This window comes from Homo sapiens, chromosome 3, assembly GCF_000001405.40.
Source record: "Homo sapiens chromosome 3, GRCh38.p14 Primary Assembly".
Lineage (NCBI taxonomy): Eukaryota > Metazoa > Chordata > Mammalia > Primates > Hominidae > Homo > Homo sapiens.
This window is the reverse complement of record NC_000003.12, coordinates 3,121,997-3,138,319: the sequence shown is the minus strand read 5'-3', so window position 1 is coordinate 3,138,319 and position 16,323 is coordinate 3,121,997. Positions and strand designations below refer to the sequence as shown.

The 16,323-nt window shown below is 42.4% G+C and overlaps 1 protein-coding gene and 1 long non-coding RNA gene across 27 annotated transcripts in view, besides 3 other annotated features; one reads left to right on the top strand and one right to left on the bottom strand.

Moving 5' to 3' along the window:
• The window catches only part of TRNT1 (tRNA nucleotidyl transferase 1), a 26,496-nt gene extending 15,116 nt beyond the window's left edge, over positions 1-11,380 (bottom strand). For 11 of the 26 annotated variants that reach the window (XR_001740168.3, XR_001740169.3, NR_159934.1 and 8 more), the window contains exons 1-3: positions 11,330-11,380; positions 9,132-9,306; positions 867-1,060 (exon numbers count right to left, since the gene is read on the bottom strand). Coding sequence is in view for 7 of the 26 variants with exons in the window: in NM_001367321.1 (NP_001354250.1) it covers positions 867-1,060; positions 9,132-9,279 (342 nt within the window). In the remaining 19 variants the exon portion in view is untranslated. Of the gene's footprint in view, positions 1-866; positions 1,061-7,640; positions 8,402-9,131; positions 9,307-10,301 lie in introns of those variants that run through there. The other 15 variants (NR_159937.1, XR_007095683.1, XR_007095685.1 and 12 more) reach the window with 5 other exon arrangements.
• Positions 10,319-11,049: an enhancer, noted in NCBI's record as "NANOG-H3K27ac-H3K4me1 hESC enhancer chr3:3168955-3169685 (GRCh37/hg19 assembly coordinates)". NCBI's record gives its function as "activates a minimal SCP1, AML or CMV promoter by ChIP-STARR-seq in primed H9 embryonic stem cells {active_cell/tissue: H9 hESC(primed)}" and the evidence as "EXISTENCE:reporter gene assay evidence [ECO:0000049][PMID:30033119]".
• Positions 10,817-10,896: an enhancer, noted in NCBI's record as "active region_19344". NCBI's record gives its function as "activates an Ori minimal core promoter by ATAC-STARR-seq in GM12878 lymphoblastoid cells {active_cell/tissue: GM12878}" and the evidence as "EXISTENCE:reporter gene assay evidence [ECO:0000049][PMID:35858748]".
• Positions 11,257-11,676: a silencer, noted in NCBI's record as "silent region_14009". NCBI's record gives its function as "represses an Ori minimal core promoter by ATAC-STARR-seq in GM12878 lymphoblastoid cells {active_cell/tissue: GM12878}" and the evidence as "EXISTENCE:reporter gene assay evidence [ECO:0000049][PMID:35858748]".
• On the top strand, positions 11,489-16,323 carry LOC124909339 (uncharacterized). Its single transcript, XR_007095786.1, has 2 exons — positions 11,489-11,760; positions 15,682-16,323. It is a non-coding gene; the product is annotated as an uncharacterized LOC124909339 (long non-coding RNA).

Sequence of the window (16,323 nt, the reverse complement as noted above, 5' to 3'; positions counted from 1 at the left end):
AATTTCTGAGTAAAAATTATTCCCTGCCTAGAATTCTATAACCGTAACTATCAAACCACCATGGAGGTGAAATAAAAACATTTTCAGACGTGTAAGGCTTCCTCAGGTTTTGGATTATTAAAATGAGGGCTTAAGCCAAGAGAGAACAGCACATGGGACCCAGGAAACAGGAGGCTTAACAAAAAAGAGAGGCCAAGGAAATTCCTAAAAGTCCATATTGGAGCAGGAAGACAGCACCAGGTAAGATGTTTCCCAAAAACCCAATTGAAACTTGATATAATGTGTTTAAATCTTTTGAGAGGAACTCTATAGCTCTGGCACAGAGTGCAGGAATAAATTGGTAGTATATGGAAAGCTTATGTAAAAGAAAAATGCCATTAACTGCAGGAAAATTTAAAAACATGCCAATAGAAGAAATGTCATCACAATATACTCCACAATCTGGCTGTAAACAATACAGAGTCATAAACGTGAACCCTGAATATTGACTTAACCAAAAATTATGATATAAATATACTAGGAAGACAGAAGAAGGAGAATTATACGTGCTTGTTGTTGAGAAGGGTGTGGTAAGAAAGCTAAATCATCTTCCCTTATGGAAAGTCAATACGTAACACATCTTAAAACTGGGATAGTAAAAACTGAAAAGTAAATACCCGTAGCATACAAAGGTCTTTTTAGAAATGGAGAGGTAACATAAAAAGTAAACATGGCTGCAAGAACAGAGGACTGCAGGGTTTATGACGGGCATAGAAGAGACTGACTTTTTTATTAGACTTTTCGTTATTTGCTTTTAACTAGAGAAAATTAAGTTTTTAAAAATTACCAAAAAAGCAATGTAATTACCTGTCAAACTTTTGACTCACCCTGGCAGTAATTGTTCCGTGCTTTTCTCCTCTGTTGTTTATCATCCGAATCCCAGCCGACTGAAACATCTCCTTCATTTGAGTAGGGGTAGCAGTGGTGGCAAAATCTATATCCTGAGGCTTTACTCCATTTAATAAATCCCTCACTGCTCCTCCTGCTATTCTTAATTCGTGATTCTCTTTGACAAATAATTCTGAGATGAGAGAAAATAAGATTTTTATTCCCAAGTTCTTTATTTCAATGTGTTTATTTTAACCACAAAAGTACAAGGCTTTTCCATCTAGTTGGAACAGCAGAGATTCATTTAACTGAGGCTTTTCATATGAAAAATGAGAACAAGGCCCAAAGAAGTAAAAAGACTTGTCTACAGGAGAGTGCCTCTGAGGACCAACAGGAAACAGAGAACTTGCAGAATTCTTTGCTTATTCAGAAGATAATTCAGAATTCCACAATGCCTCAAAGTGATCAATATAAATTTGAAGTATTACTAAAGACTAAAGCAGGTCAGGCGCAGTGGCTCACATCTGTAATCCTGATACTTTGGGAGGCTGAGGTGAAAAGATCACTTGAGCCCAGGAGTTCAAGACCAGCCTGGGCAAAGAGCAAGACTCTATCTATACAAAAAATAAAAATAGCCAGGTTCAGTGGCGCACACCTGTAGTCCCAGCTACTTGGGAGGCTGAGGTGGGAGGATGGCTTGAGCCCAGGAGTTCAAGGCTGCGGTGAGCTATGATCGTGCCACTGCACTCCAGCCTGGGTGACAGAGCAAGACCTTATCTCAAAAAAAAAAAAAAGAAAAAAAAAGAAAGTAAATCAAACAATTCTGCTTTCTTTTCCCCATTTATGTGCATACTTTAGAAATGGTAACATGTTCTTGTATTTCTCTGTGTTTACAGATAGATGTTGAGGCAGGATGTTCACGCATGAAACTATCAGACATTAGTCTATACCACTTATGATTAATGTTTATAGCTAAAAATCTTCAAGAAATGGTCTGTATATAATTCTAAAATCAACTCCTATCTGTGCTCTAGGTAGAACCATTTGAACACTGAACAACTATAAGCAACTACATAGCTGACTCCTCTATATGTAGAGGATAAGGCAAAATCCACTATAACTATATCCATATGTCCACATGGAACCTAGTGAGAATGGCATCCAGGAGCTAGCCTGCCACAATATTAGGCCCTGGGGTCTGTGGTACAGAAACATTTTCACAAAACATCAATATCAGACAAGCCCATTCTGTGACCACGATGGATCGATCAAGACAACTCTGTAATCACCTAAACATACACGAAACATGAACACTGTCCATGATACACCCTACAATAGTTGGTAACAGTGACTGTGCCTTACCAATTAGGTTTAGTCTCACAACTGTACTCAACTTCTAGGAAACCATTATTAAGACACCCAATCACAGAATTACTTCTGCTTCCTGAGAGCATCTAACCCGCTGCAAAGCTCTACTACCTTAAATGCTCTCCAAAATGACCCAATACAAGCCCAACTCCTATAAGAAGTCATTTCTAAAGCCCTCTTACTGAGTATACCTCCAGGTTCTCCAGTGTCAGCATGCTACTCCTCACTCAGCATGTTGCTCCTCACTGCCAGGAGTAACAACCCAACTTGTGTCCCTGTTGGTCTTTGGCTAGCAGACAGCAACACGAGCATTCAACTAAACTCATCATACATCAAAGTTCCAGCACCTCTAATCACAACTCAAAACAGAATCCTCTATCCCTACCTCAACATCTGTTTTCTGTCCTGCCCACACTCCTCTTCCACCTACTCTTCCCACATCTTTTCAGCCCCATTCTCTGTAGACTCCTTAAAATGATGTACTTAAAAGTAACAAATGCTCCCTACCCTCTTGACTTAATTAAGGATATCTTTTCCACAAGCTCTCCCCAAGGGGAAGTGTTCATATTCCCCTAATGCCACATTTCCCATGAAAGCCCACTTCTGGGACCACATCACCTCCCTTAAATCCAGCCTCCACCATCTAGACATAGGGATTTAAAACACTAGGTTAATTACGCTACGCATTAACTGCTCCTCCTAACTACTCACAACACAGTACCCAAATTCCTCAGTGCTATATCCAAAGGCTTCCATGACCTATTTGTCTCATCTCTTGCTAAACTCTGCATCACACTGTCTGTACCAGCTGTCTGCACAAAACTCTCCCCACAGTTTTCCTCCATAATTTTGCTTGTGTGAGTCACTTCACTGAAACACCTCCCCAACTTACTCCAGCTCAGTGGCTGGCTGTCACACTTCTTAGCCCATAACCCACACTAAGACATTCACATAGCAGTCACCAAAATTTGTATGTCTACATGGCAAACAAAAGTATCATAAAAGAAAACCTACCCTTCGTACCATGCAATCTATTCTATTCTCTCTTTTTTTTAATTACTGGTCATGACCACTAAATTGACTTCATGGCCCACTAAGAGGTAACTACCCAGTTGGAAAACAATGATCTAGCTCACTCTTACTTATCTGTTGTGACTCACTTTAGGAAGCCTCACCTGAAGGTAAGGTTAGGTGAATTTCTTCTAAGCGACTAGTACAGCATATCTTTATACATACCAATTATATTAAAATTACCTGTTTTATGTCTTTGTCTCCCCACTTCTCAGGGTAGAAAACCTATCTTATTCATCTTTATACCAATCTGGCTCATAATTAAACTGAATTATGATATTCTAACTATTAAAAAAAAGAATGACTTCACTGGTAAGTATTGGGTTTTTTTAAGTTTTCTTAAAACGGTATCAAGTAGCTGTTCTGAAATTCAAGCAAATAAAGGACAAGTTTTACGTTCACTTGAACTTACTATAAACAGTGGGATGAAGAAGGTCAAGGCTTAATTTATACAGATAACTACTGTTTTAAGATTCTCATGCTGGCTTTACTAAAATAAAACGATAAGTTCAAATTTACTCAGTAAGCTAACTGCATTACAAAGAGATCCAGAACTCAAAGTAATATATTCACCATTTTGATTAGCCTATGTTATTAAACCATTCCAAAAACCTTGCCATTCAGGATTTTTAAAATAACATTTAAGACAACTGAGAAAGACGTATCAAGGCATATTTGTCTATATGAAAGAGCAGTCATAAAAATTATAAGAAAAGCATAATTTCACATTGGCCTAAAACAGCAGGGACTATCAAGCTTCAAGATTTATTTATTCCTGTTACTGATATCTTCAATCTTACAGAAACAGGGAGGCAGTCAACATTTCAAAAGACTTTGCGAGCTACATTCAATGAAATAATTCAGTGAAAATAACACCTAATGTAACTAAATTTAACTGTAAACTTAAGCCTAAAAGTCAAAGAATGCAGAATCTCATCATCCCCAAACTACGTTTATTTGCTCCAAATGCCACCTCTGATAGTAAGCAATTGTTAATTATTATTAGCAATTCAAAAGACCATACATTAATGTGTCAGAAAACTTTTATAACTGTCACCTCTTTTTAATGTTAACTTTTAATTAAATTTTCATGAACGTCTTCCCTTTACAGCTTTAAATTTTGACGACTGGAGGCTGGGGTGGGGTAAGGGGCAGTGAGTGGGAGCTATGAGTGGGAAGACATGGTGTGAGCATTACTACAGAAAAACAGACCATCTGTTCTAAGAGCTCCGGACTTCAAGAGAGTGATCAGTTGTCCCTATCGTGCTATATTTTAACATGATGGCCTTCTGACGTCACATAACACTGAGCGCTATCACCCCCTGTGGACAACAGCCAAAGGACTAAACAAGTCCTTGCTCATCCATTAATGCTGTTAGCTCAGGCAAAAATCGTCTGCATTGGGAACTTCAGCCTCATCTCTAGGACAGAAAAATAGTCTCTCATTTTTTTTTTTTTGAGAGAGGGTCTCACTGTCATCCAGGCTGGAGTGCAGTGGCACCACCACAGCTCACTCTGCAGCCCTGACCCCAAGTTCAAGGAACCCCCTGCCTCAGCCTCCTGAGTAGCTGGGACTACAGGTGTGCATCACTGTAACTGGCTAAATTTATTATTATTATTTTTGTACAGATGGGATTTCACTATGTTGCTCAGGCTGGTCTCTAACTCCTGGGCTCAAGCAATTCTCCCATCTCGGCCTCCCAAAGTGCTGGGAGATTATAGGCATGAGCTACCACAGCTAGCTGGGAAATAATCTTCTATGCCACTAGCATATGATTGTACTGAAGCAAAAAGATACATAAAATAACCTGACAAATTATAAAACCCTTATGATATGACAATAATACACTATTCTAGTCTCTCATATTCTTGCATACTGAAAACTAATTTTACACATGGCAAAGCAGCTATTAAGATTTGAAAATTGGTACAGGATTTAAACTCCAAGTATCACTATATAGCAGCCATCAGAAAGGCTGTGTGTTTTTGTACATTTTGATTTTATACAGAACATTACATTTTACCAGGGCACCCAAGTCTTTGACATTCTAACTTGTTGATCATTGCACTAAAAGATTCCATTCTTGCCACTTCTCCAGTAGCCTAGAAAAAGTCAACTTTAGAATATATCCATGTTCTCATTTGCCAGTCCTTCAAGGACAGGACTCTGGAAGCAATCACCACCTCTACCTTACCACACCATTTAGGCTCTAACTTCCTTAGGACCTCATTTCTCAGGGTGGAGAAAATCCAGTGTTTTTTTTTTGTGTTTTTTTTTTTTTCCTTCAATAGGTATATGTTTTTTTTTATTTTTTTAATTTTTTTTTTTTTATTATACTCTAAGTTTTAGGGTACATGTGCACATTGTGCAGGTTAGTTACATATGTATACATGTGCCATGCTGGTGCGCTGCACCCACTAACGTGTCATCTAGCATTAGGTATATCTCCCAATGCTATCCCTCCCCCCTCCCCCGACCCCACCACAGTCCCCAGAGTGTGATATTCCCCTTCCTGTGTCCATGTGATCTCATTGTTCAATTCCCACCTATGAGTGAGAATATGCGGTGTTTGGTTTTTTGTTCTTGCGATAGTTTACTGAGAATGATGGTTTCCAGTTTCATCCATGTCCCTACAAAGGACATGAACTCATCATTTTTTATGGCTGCATAGTATTCCATGGTGTATATGTGCCACATTTTCTTAATCCAGTCTATCATTGTTGGACATTTGGGTTGGTTCCAAGTCTTTGCTATTGTGAATAGTGCCGCAATAAACATACGTGTGCATGTCTCTTTATAGCAGCATGATTTATAGTCCTTTGGGTATATACCCAGTAATGGGATGGCTGGGTCAAATGGTATTTCTAGTTCTAGATCCCTGAGGAATCGCCACACTGACTTCCACAATGGTTGAACTAGTTTACAGTCCCACCAACAGTGTAAAAGTGTTCCTATTTCTCCACATCCTCTCCAGCACCTGTTGTTTCCTGACTTTTTAATGATTGCCATTCTAACTGGTGTGAGATGATATCTCATAGTGGTTTTGATTTGCATTTCTCTGATGGCCAGTGATGATGAGCATTTTTTCATGTGTTTTTTGGCTGCATAAATGTCTTCTTTTGAGAAGTGTCTGTTCATGTCCTTCGCCCACTTTTTGATGGGGTTGTTTGTTTTTTTCTTGTAAATTTGTTTGAGTTCATTGTAGATTCTGGATATTAGCCCTTTGTCAGATGAGTAGGTTGCGAAAATTTTCTCCCATGTTGTGGGTTGCCTGTTCACTCTGATGGTAGTTTCTTTTGCTGTGCAGAAGCTCTTTAGTTTAATTAGATCCCATTTGTCAATTCTGGCTTTTGTTGCCATTGCTTTTGGTGTTTTGGACATGAAGTCCTCGCCCACGCCTATGTCCTGAATGGTAATGCCTAGGTTTTCTTCTAGGGTTTTTATGGTTTTAGGTCTAACGTTTAAATCTTTAATCCATCTTGAATTGATTTTTGTATAAGGTGTAAGGAAGGGATCCAGTTTCAGCTTTCTACATATGGCTAGCCAGTTTCAGGTTTAGAACGTTAAACACAATTGTTAAAATGATGTTCAAGAAACTATAGTAATCAATATTTAGAACCTTATTTCCAAAAAATGCAGAATGACCTGAGTTAGGCCATCAAGAGTTAATTACTACTCCTTCTTCCAAGAGGCCTCTTGCAATTGAAGTTGAAAAATTGGGGGCTGTGAAGGGCATACACAGAAAGAAAAAAGCTTCAACTCAACCCAAAATCACAGCTTCAAAATCTGCACTATTCAAACAGCAGCCACTTGTACTTACTGAGCACTTAAAATGTGGTAAGTCTGAATTCAGATGTGCTGTATTAAATGCATGCCAGACTTCAAAGACTTCCAAGTAAGAATATAAAATATCTCATTAATTTTTTTTTTTTTTTAAAGACACGGTCTGTGTCGCCCAGGCTGGAGTGTAGTGGCACAATCTCGGCTTACCGCAAGCCCCCCTCCCAGGCTTCAGTGATCCTCCCACCTCAGCCTCCCAAGTAGCAGGGACTACAGACACATATCAGTATGCTTGCCTATTTTTCATATTTTTAGTAGAGATGGGGTTTCACCGTGTTGCCCAGGCTGGTCTCAAACTCCTGGGCTCAAGTGATCCACCCACCTCAGCCACTCAAAAGTGCTGGGATTACAGGTATGAGCCACCATGTCCAGCCTCCCAAAGTGCTAGGATTACAGGTGGGAGACACTGTGCCCGGCCTCATTAACAATTTTTATACAAAATTCATACTGATAGTATCTTAGATATATTGGATTAAATTAGATGAACCAAAAATAATTATTAAAATTTATTTCACCATTTCTATCTTTTTAATGTGGTTAGTAAAAAAGTTTATATTACATATGGGCTCATAAATTTCTATTGGACAGCAATTTTTAGCAATTTTCACTCTCTCCAATTAAAAAAGATAGTGAAGCATCGGCAAAACCAAACATGCATTTAAGCCCTCTACTTAAAGTCTGCCTAAAACAATCTAAAAGAATCAACATATTCTGGGCCATTTATCTCTGGCACGTACCTAAAAAGCCATCATCCAATTTCAAGAATGGGAAAGTAGCTTTGAGAATAAGCTAATACAAGGTGAGTCATGTTAAAGTAATGGTTCGTCTATCTTCTGTGCATCAGAATTAACTTGTGGAGCTTTTATTAAAAATATAGATGGTCATCCCACCCAGAGATTCTAATTCAGTAGGCTGCAGGTAGAACCCGAGCATGTGTGCTTTAAAAGCTCCCCAGGTGAATCTAATAGATAGCCAGTGCTGTATAGGTCATATTTCTACATATACTACTAAATATATTTATGAAGGTGCTATTAAAATTCCCACAGGCTTTGTAATGCTACTGTGTGGCTGCTTTAGCAACATCAGCAGACAACATTGAGAATCAACACTAATGAAACTGTGGCAACAGCAAGAAGCTACTGGCACTTAGCTAAAGCCATTTCCTATGCTCCTTCCAGACAGGTTTTGCAACGTGCACAATGGAGGCAACTCCTATTTCCTTCTTCCTTCAGTTCTCATGGAAAGCATTTATACCTAGGAAGGAAACAGAGCTTAGCGGTTGCAAGCTGGGCTCTGAAATCAATCTGCGTAAGTTCGAAACCTAGCTCTCTAGTTAGTAGTTACAGAAACACAGGCAAAGCACTTCACATGCCTAACAATCTGTTTCCTTTTTCACGTAACAGGTCAAAATGTGCGTACTCATTAAGTTAGTAGCACCAGTCCTGTAATGAATGGCAAGTACTTAGCACAGCATACAGAAAAGCCATGCTTTTTACTGCAGTCAACTTCTTGCCTTTTCCAGTGATTTAGCTATATTTTTGGATCAGCCATATGTAAGCCTTTCTCTTTTAATATTCCTTTCTCTTTTTTTGAGACAGGGTCTCACTCTGTTGCCCAGGCTAGAGTGGCATGATCATAGCTCACTGCAGCCTCAAACTCCTGGGCTCAAACAATCCTCCTACCTTGGCCTCCCCAAGAGATTACAGGCTGGGTACACCCAGCCAAGCCTTTCTTCCAACAATGAAAACGTGCACATTGGGCACCGTGGCTCACACCTGTAATCCCAGCATTTTGGGAGGCCAAGGAGTGAGCCCAGGAGTTTTGAGACCAGCCTGGGCAACACAAAGAGACCCTCTACTTACGTTTTTTAATAAAAATAATTAAAACAACAATGAAAATATCCGAATGCTGGCTTAAAAAGTTAACCCTCTACTTCTCCATTTATATAGGTTTCCAATCAAGAAAAGGTATCCTAATCTCTCACCTGTCAGACTCTTCAGTCCTTCTGTGAAAAGTGACTGGAATTCGGGAGACTGCAACTTCATTGTGAATAGATACTGCTTCGGAAGGCACAGCCTACTCCACCTACGGTTCAGCACTGGCCTGTGCCAATGATACAGGCACCTCAGCATCTGGAGAGGCAGTCACCAACTACACATCTACAAGGCAAATACACAGGCATACCAATGAAATTAAAAGTGAAGGTAAGTGAAGGAAAACAAAGGGGGACACATTTCAAGTTTATCAACTCAGAAATTCATCTCTTGTTCAGATGAAAAAACTGAAAACGGTGTCAGTTTGAGGGATTACGACTAGGTCTATGTATCTACCTGGTTTTGTTCTCCAGAAGCACTTACTGTGGCAGGCGGGGTCTCACTAGCGCAGGCCTCCATAACTGTTTCAGTACTGACTGACTGGTTGAGTTACATATTAAAAGCTGAAAGAGCCAGCCAGTGCCCTTAAACAAGGCTAGAATGTAACAAAAGCCCCCCAAGAGTTTTGCCTAGGCCTTTCCTGGACCTTGAAGCATGATAAAATAACAAAGGAATTCTTTTTTTTTTTTTTTTTTTTTTTGAGATGGAGTCTCGCTCTGTCGCTCAGGCGGGAGTGCAGTGGCGCGATCTCAGCTCACTGCAACCCCTGCCTCCTGGGTTCAAGAGATTCTCCTGCCTCAGCATCCCAAGTAGCAGGGATTACAGGCGCACACCACCACATCCGGCTAATTTTTTATACTTCTGGGTAGAGACGGGGTTTTACCACGTTGGCCAGACTGCTCTCGAACTCCTGACCTCAAGTGATCTGCCCGCCTCAGCCTCCCAAAGTGCTGGGATTACAGGCGTGAGCCACTGAGCCCGGCCACAAAGGAATTCTTAACAGGACCCGTTTAGAATTAAACAAGTTTTACTGGGGATCTGAGGAAACTCCCCAGGCCTCCACGAACAAGTTTATTAGGGGTCTGAGGGAACTCCCCAAACCTCCATGATTTAGCAGGAGAGAATATAAGGGTAATCACCCCAGCACCTGGACCCATTTAGATTAAGTAAATTTACTCAGGCTCCAGAGGAAGGTCTTCAGGACTCAGATCTTATGGGTAAGAAGTTAATCACTTGTATCTTTAGATCAATGCACACTTACACATAAACATACAACTTACAAGGTATATAAGCTCTGGAAAGCTCTGTAATTCTGAGTCGGTCTGGGATATTTTCCACGCCTTCGCCCCGTACCTGGTTACAGAAATAAACTCCTTTCTTTCCTAGTTTATCTGCATCTCATTATTGGGCAGCGAGAATAAGCAGCCCAACCCTCGGTTTGGTGGTTTGGTCGGGGAGCATTACCACGACACTCGCATGCCACATGGTACTGTGATGACACTCTCCCCAGAGCAGGGCTTCAGGCAGTATGAGAGGGATGCGGGGTTCTAGAAACTCTAACCGAGTTTCTGGTCTCCAAAACTTGTCATGGTCACAGGTGGGTATCACCCTACTTCCCCACCTGCACTCGAGGATTCACGACCCTGGGATAGCTCCTAGACATTGTATTTTCCCATGAATTTAGTTTTGCTGCCCCCATTTTCCTGATTCTTTTCCTGCCATCTTGCAATCTCCTCTGATTTCTGGCACACCGCGGCCTTCCCTTCTACATATCACATCCTCGTTCTCCCCATACGGGGGTCCTGCCCATAAGGAGGCCGCAGCAGCTCTCGAGTGACCCCGGTGTAAACCTGCAGAGAAAAACCATTCCATTCCACGGAAGCGGGTGGAGGAGCCGCGCTTCCCGGCAGGCCACGTGGGGCGGAAAGACCCACTCAGTTTCCTCGCACCTCCGCCTCGACTTAGGAAAACGCTCTGGGGAACCCCAGCCCTGAAAAGGCGCGTCTCACCCCCCACGCCGGGTGCTGGCGACAAGGCCCAGTGAAAAAGCGTCTCGGGGCCGTCCGCGCGGAGGGGAAAGTGCTGAGGGAAGCCAAGGAATCCGCGCCTGCGGTCGCCGGAAACGTGGCGGGGACACGACCTCCGCGTCGGGGCTATTTTGCCCACTGCTGAGGAGGCCTCTCGCCACGTCCCGCTCCCGTCTTCCTCGAGGACCGGGCGCGGTGGCGCCTCTGGCCCACAGCAGGAAGGAAGGGGCAGCAACTCACGCCACCAACTCTGCCCCTCTGAGCGGCGCGCGCCCGCTTACCGGCCCCGCTGTTGCCGCAGCCGCCACCGCCGCCACGCGCACTTCCGGGCTGGTGAACGCGGTGACGTCACCAACGCACATGGGTTGGCGGCGAATGGGAAGTCGCGGCGGGGCGAGGGCGAGTGCGGGGGCGGGGCCCGGACCGAAGGGCTTCCGCCTCCCGTCGCTCCTCCCCACCGTGAGGCGAACCTCAGCCGGTTTCCCAGCCCCGCCGAGGCCCGCTGGGGCGAAGCGGAGCCCCGGGGGGCCCTGAGGAAACCGGCGCGGGTTCGTTTAATTACGCCCTTCTCGCCAGACCTCTGGCTGGCCCTGAGCTGCTCAGAAGCCCATCTGCGCGGCATGCCCGTGCGATCTGAGACAACTGGCAGCTGTCTTCCTTTGCAAAACGAGACTGTTAATAAAACCTACCCCAGGGTAGGACGGACTGTTCGGTAAATGTTAACTTATCCGTGTTTGACTATTCTCTCCTCTAATCTCTGCATAGGGTTAAGTCCACAGTTGACAGAGTCACGCGCATTCGAAATCTAAGCCCGCCGGTCCTATGAACTTACTGGGCATATTTTATTTTCTTACCTGGTTTGTGTAACCATTGGCCTCCTTGGCCCGGAGGCTTCCCATCTGTAACGTGGAGAACTTAGATTTGATCCAGTTCATTAATTCTTTCTAGAGCGGAAAAGAGCAAAGAGAGTGGCAAAGGAGTGGGAATACAGCCGTTGAGCCCTTAAAGTGCGAAAATGTGTAGTTTTTGTTTTGTTTTGTTTTTGAGACGGAGTTTCGCTCTTGTCGCCCAGGCTGGAGTGCGGTGGCGCGATCTGGGCTCGCTGCAACCTCCGCCTTCCGGTTTCAAGCGATGCTCCTGCCTCGGCCTCCCGAGTAGCTGGGATTACAGGTGTCTGCCACCACGCCCGGCTAATTTTTAGTAGAGACGGGGTTTTGCCGTGTTGGCCAACTGGTCTCGAACTCCTGACCTCGTGTTCCCCAGGCCTCGGCCCCCAAAAGTGCCGGGATTACTTTTGCCGGGATTCGGCCACTGCGCCCGGCCGAAAATGTGTAGTCTTTTAAGTGTAACTTTACATCACTTAGCTTTCCCTAAAATTTTCCTAGAAAAATGCTTGTGCATGTTATTTCTGTTCTTTTGCCCTCCCCACATGCCTACCTGTTCTTCCCAAACTTTTCAGCCCCACTCTCTGTAGACTTCCTAAAACGTAAAAAGTAAGATGTGCAATTACCACACCTCTTCAAGGTGTTGAATATCCTGTTTTTGGAAGCACAGGACTGGCTTTCCAAATGGACATTCAGAGGCACAGCATTGATATCATCCGGTGCAAGGATTTTCTGTCTCTCTCTCTCTTTGGGGCAAGGAAAGCCCCAAATCATCCTTTCAGGCTTGTCTGCTATTTCTCACCACCATGACCCTAGACAAACTGGACCAAAGCCTCCATTGCTGTACCCACCTAGAATAGATTCTCCAAATCACCACCTATGAAGGCAACGCTAATACAACTATTATGATGACTTACTTCGTGCCAGTTACTGTGCTGGGCACCCTCAACAATTTCTGGCCTTGTAAATATATAGTTTATATATGCAGGTGTATATACAGTTGTCCTTCCGTATCCATGGGGTATTGGTTCCAGAACATCACCCCAGCCAGTGTTCAAGTTCTTTACATAAAATGGCATAATATTTACATATAGACTATACACATTCTGTAGTACAAATCATTTCTAGATTACTTATAATACCTGATATAAATGCTGTGTAAACAGTTGTTATGCTATATCGCTTCTTTGTGTTTTTTAATTGCTATTTAATTTTTTTTTTTTTTTTTGAGATGGAGTTTCACTCTGGCGCCCAGGCTGGAGTGCAGTGGCACGATCTCAGCTCACTGCAACCTCTGCTTTCCAGGTTCAAGCGATTCTCCTGCCTCATCCTCCCAAGTAGCTGGGATTACAGGCACCCGCCTCCACGCCCGGCTAATTTTTGTATTTTTAGTAGAGACGGGGTTTCACCATGTTGGCCAGGCTGGTCTTGAACTGCTGACCTCAGGTGACCCACCCACCTAGGCCTCCCGAAGTGCTGGGATTACAGACGTGCGCCATGGTGCCCCAGCCTTATTTAATATTTTGACCTGTGGCTGGTTGAATCCACTGATGGAGAACCCATGGCCATGGAAGGTCAACTGGAGAGAGAGAGAGAGAGAGAGAGAGGAGAAAGAGAGAGAGTAAGAGAATTCCTCCTGTACTGGCCAAGACAATAAAACAAAAATAGGGGTATTACTACAGATCATGTAGATATATATGAGGAGGTATTATAAACAATTTTATGCCAATTAATTTGACAATGTAGATGCAACGCACCAATTCTATAAAAAAGACAATTTATCAGAACTGAAATAGGGTAGAATTTAAAAATCTGAATAGCTTTTCATTTTTAAAGAAATTGAATTGTTGTTCAACAGACTTCTCACAAAGATAATTCCAGGCCCAGATGGTTTCAGTGGTCAAATTTATCAAACGCATAAGGAAGGAAGAACTCCAGTCTTGTGCAAAGTTTGTTTAGAAAATAGAGGAGGAAACAGTTTTCCTCTCATTTTGAGGCCAGCATAACCCGCATAACATAAAATCAACACTACAAAAAAATTAATATACAGCTTAATATACCACATGACCATAGAAACAAAAACAACTTTAATAAAATGTTAGGAAATTGAATCCAACAGTATATAGAAAGATAATACATCATGATCAATTTGGGTTTGTCCCCAGTGCAAGGAATGCAAGTTGTATTTAATGATCTAAAACCAATCAACGTAATTCACCATATTAACTGAAAAAGAAAAACTGTTGTCATCACAATAGATGCAGAAAGACCACTTAAAATTCAATCCCTACTCATAAAAACTGCCAAAAAAATTAGAAGGGACTTCCTCAATATAGTAAAGGTCATTCATGAAAAATCCATAGCCAATATCAGACTTAGTGGTAATATATTGAACACTCTCCCCCTTATATCAGGAAGAAGGCAAGGATGCCTCATCTTACCACTTCTTAACATTTGTCTGTAGTTTATAACCATTAACAAAGCAAGAAAAAGATATGGAAAGTGTAACAATTCAAAAGGAAGTAAAATTGTCCCTATTTTCAGATGACATGATGGTGGTTTATACAGAAATCATAGGAACTGACAAAACTACTACTAGAACTAACAAGTAAATTTAGGAAGGTCTCAGGATACCAGGTTAATATACATAAATCAATTCTATTTTTATATATTATCAGCAAAAATATAGTACATAAAAATATATATCACATATGAAGAAATAAGCGTAATAAGAGAAGCTATATGGTTAGCAACCAAACATATATAAAGATACTCATCAATCGCTAAGAGGCCAGATATGGTGGCCCTTGCCTGTAATCCCAGCACTTTGGGAGGTTAAGGTGGGAGGATCATTTGAGCCCAGGAGTTTGAGCCCAGCCTGGGCAATATAATGAGACCCTTTCTCTATAATTTATTTTTTAATAGCCGGGGTTGCTGTTGCGTGCCTGTATTCCCAGTTACTCAGGAGGCTGAAGTGGGAGAAACACTTTGAGCCCAGGAGGTCCAGGCTGCATTGAGCTGTGATTGCACCACTGCATTCCAGCCTGGACAACAGAGTGAGACATTGTCTAAAATATTATATATATATATATATAAAATCACTAGGGAAATACAAATTATACAACAATGAGATACCTTTTTGTTTTTTTAAGACGGAGTCTCACTCTTTCCCCTAGGCTGGAGTGCAATGGCATAGTCTCGGCCTACTGCAACCTATGCCTGCCAGGTTCAAGCAGTCTGCTGCCTGAGCCTTCTGAGTAGCTGGGATTACAGGCACGTGCCACCACACCTGGCTAATTTTTGTATTTTTAGTAGAGATGGGGTTTCACTATATTGGCCAGGCTGGTCTTGAACTTCTGACCTTGTGATCTGCCGCCTCAGCCTCCCAAAGTGCTGGGATTACAGGCACGAGCCACCACGCCTGGCCAACAATGAGATACCTTTACATACCCATTAGAATGTCTAAAATTGAAACACCTGGAAATATCAAATGCTGATGAGAATGAAGAGCAACTGCAACTCTCATACACCGTGGGTGGGAATACAAACTGGCCCAGCCACTTTGGTAAACAGTTTACTGGTGTCTGATAAGACTAGCTATACATATAGCTTATGGCCCAGCAGTCCCACTCCTAGATATTTACCTGAGAGAAATAAAAACTTATGTTCACACTAAAACGTGTATGTGAGTGGTGTAGTCACTTTATTTATAATTATTCCAAACTGGAAATAACCCAGATTTCTTCCAGCAGATGAATGGATAAGCAACCTGGAGCATATCCATACAATGGAATACTACTGAGCAAGATGAAAGAACAAACTGCTGATACACACAGCAACACATCTGACTCTCAAGTGAAGAAAGCCCCTTTCAAGAGGCTGCATATAATAGACTCCATTCATATGACATCCAGAAAAGGCAAAACTATAGGTCGGGCACAGTGGCTCACGCCTGTAATCCCAGCACTTTGGGAGGCCGAGGTGGGCAGATCACGAGGCCAGGAGTTCAAGACCAGCCTGGCCAACATGGTGAAAACCCATCTCTATGAAAAATACAAAAATTAGCTGGGCGTGGTGGTGGGCACCTATAATCCCAGCTACTCGGGAGGCTGAGGCAGGAGAATCAATTGAACCAGGGAGGCAGGGGTTGCAATGAGCTGAGATGACACCATTGCACTCCAGCCTGGGCAACAGGGCAAGGATCCATCTCAAAAAAAAAAAAAGGCAAAACTGTAGAGAGAAAAAATGATCAGTTCTTGCCAGGGGGCTCAAGATGGGATGAGGTATTTACTACGAAAGCGCATGAGAGAATTTTGAGGGGAGAGAAAGGTGATAGATTTGTTCTATGTTTTGATTATAGTGGTGATTAAATAACTCTGTATTTGCCATAA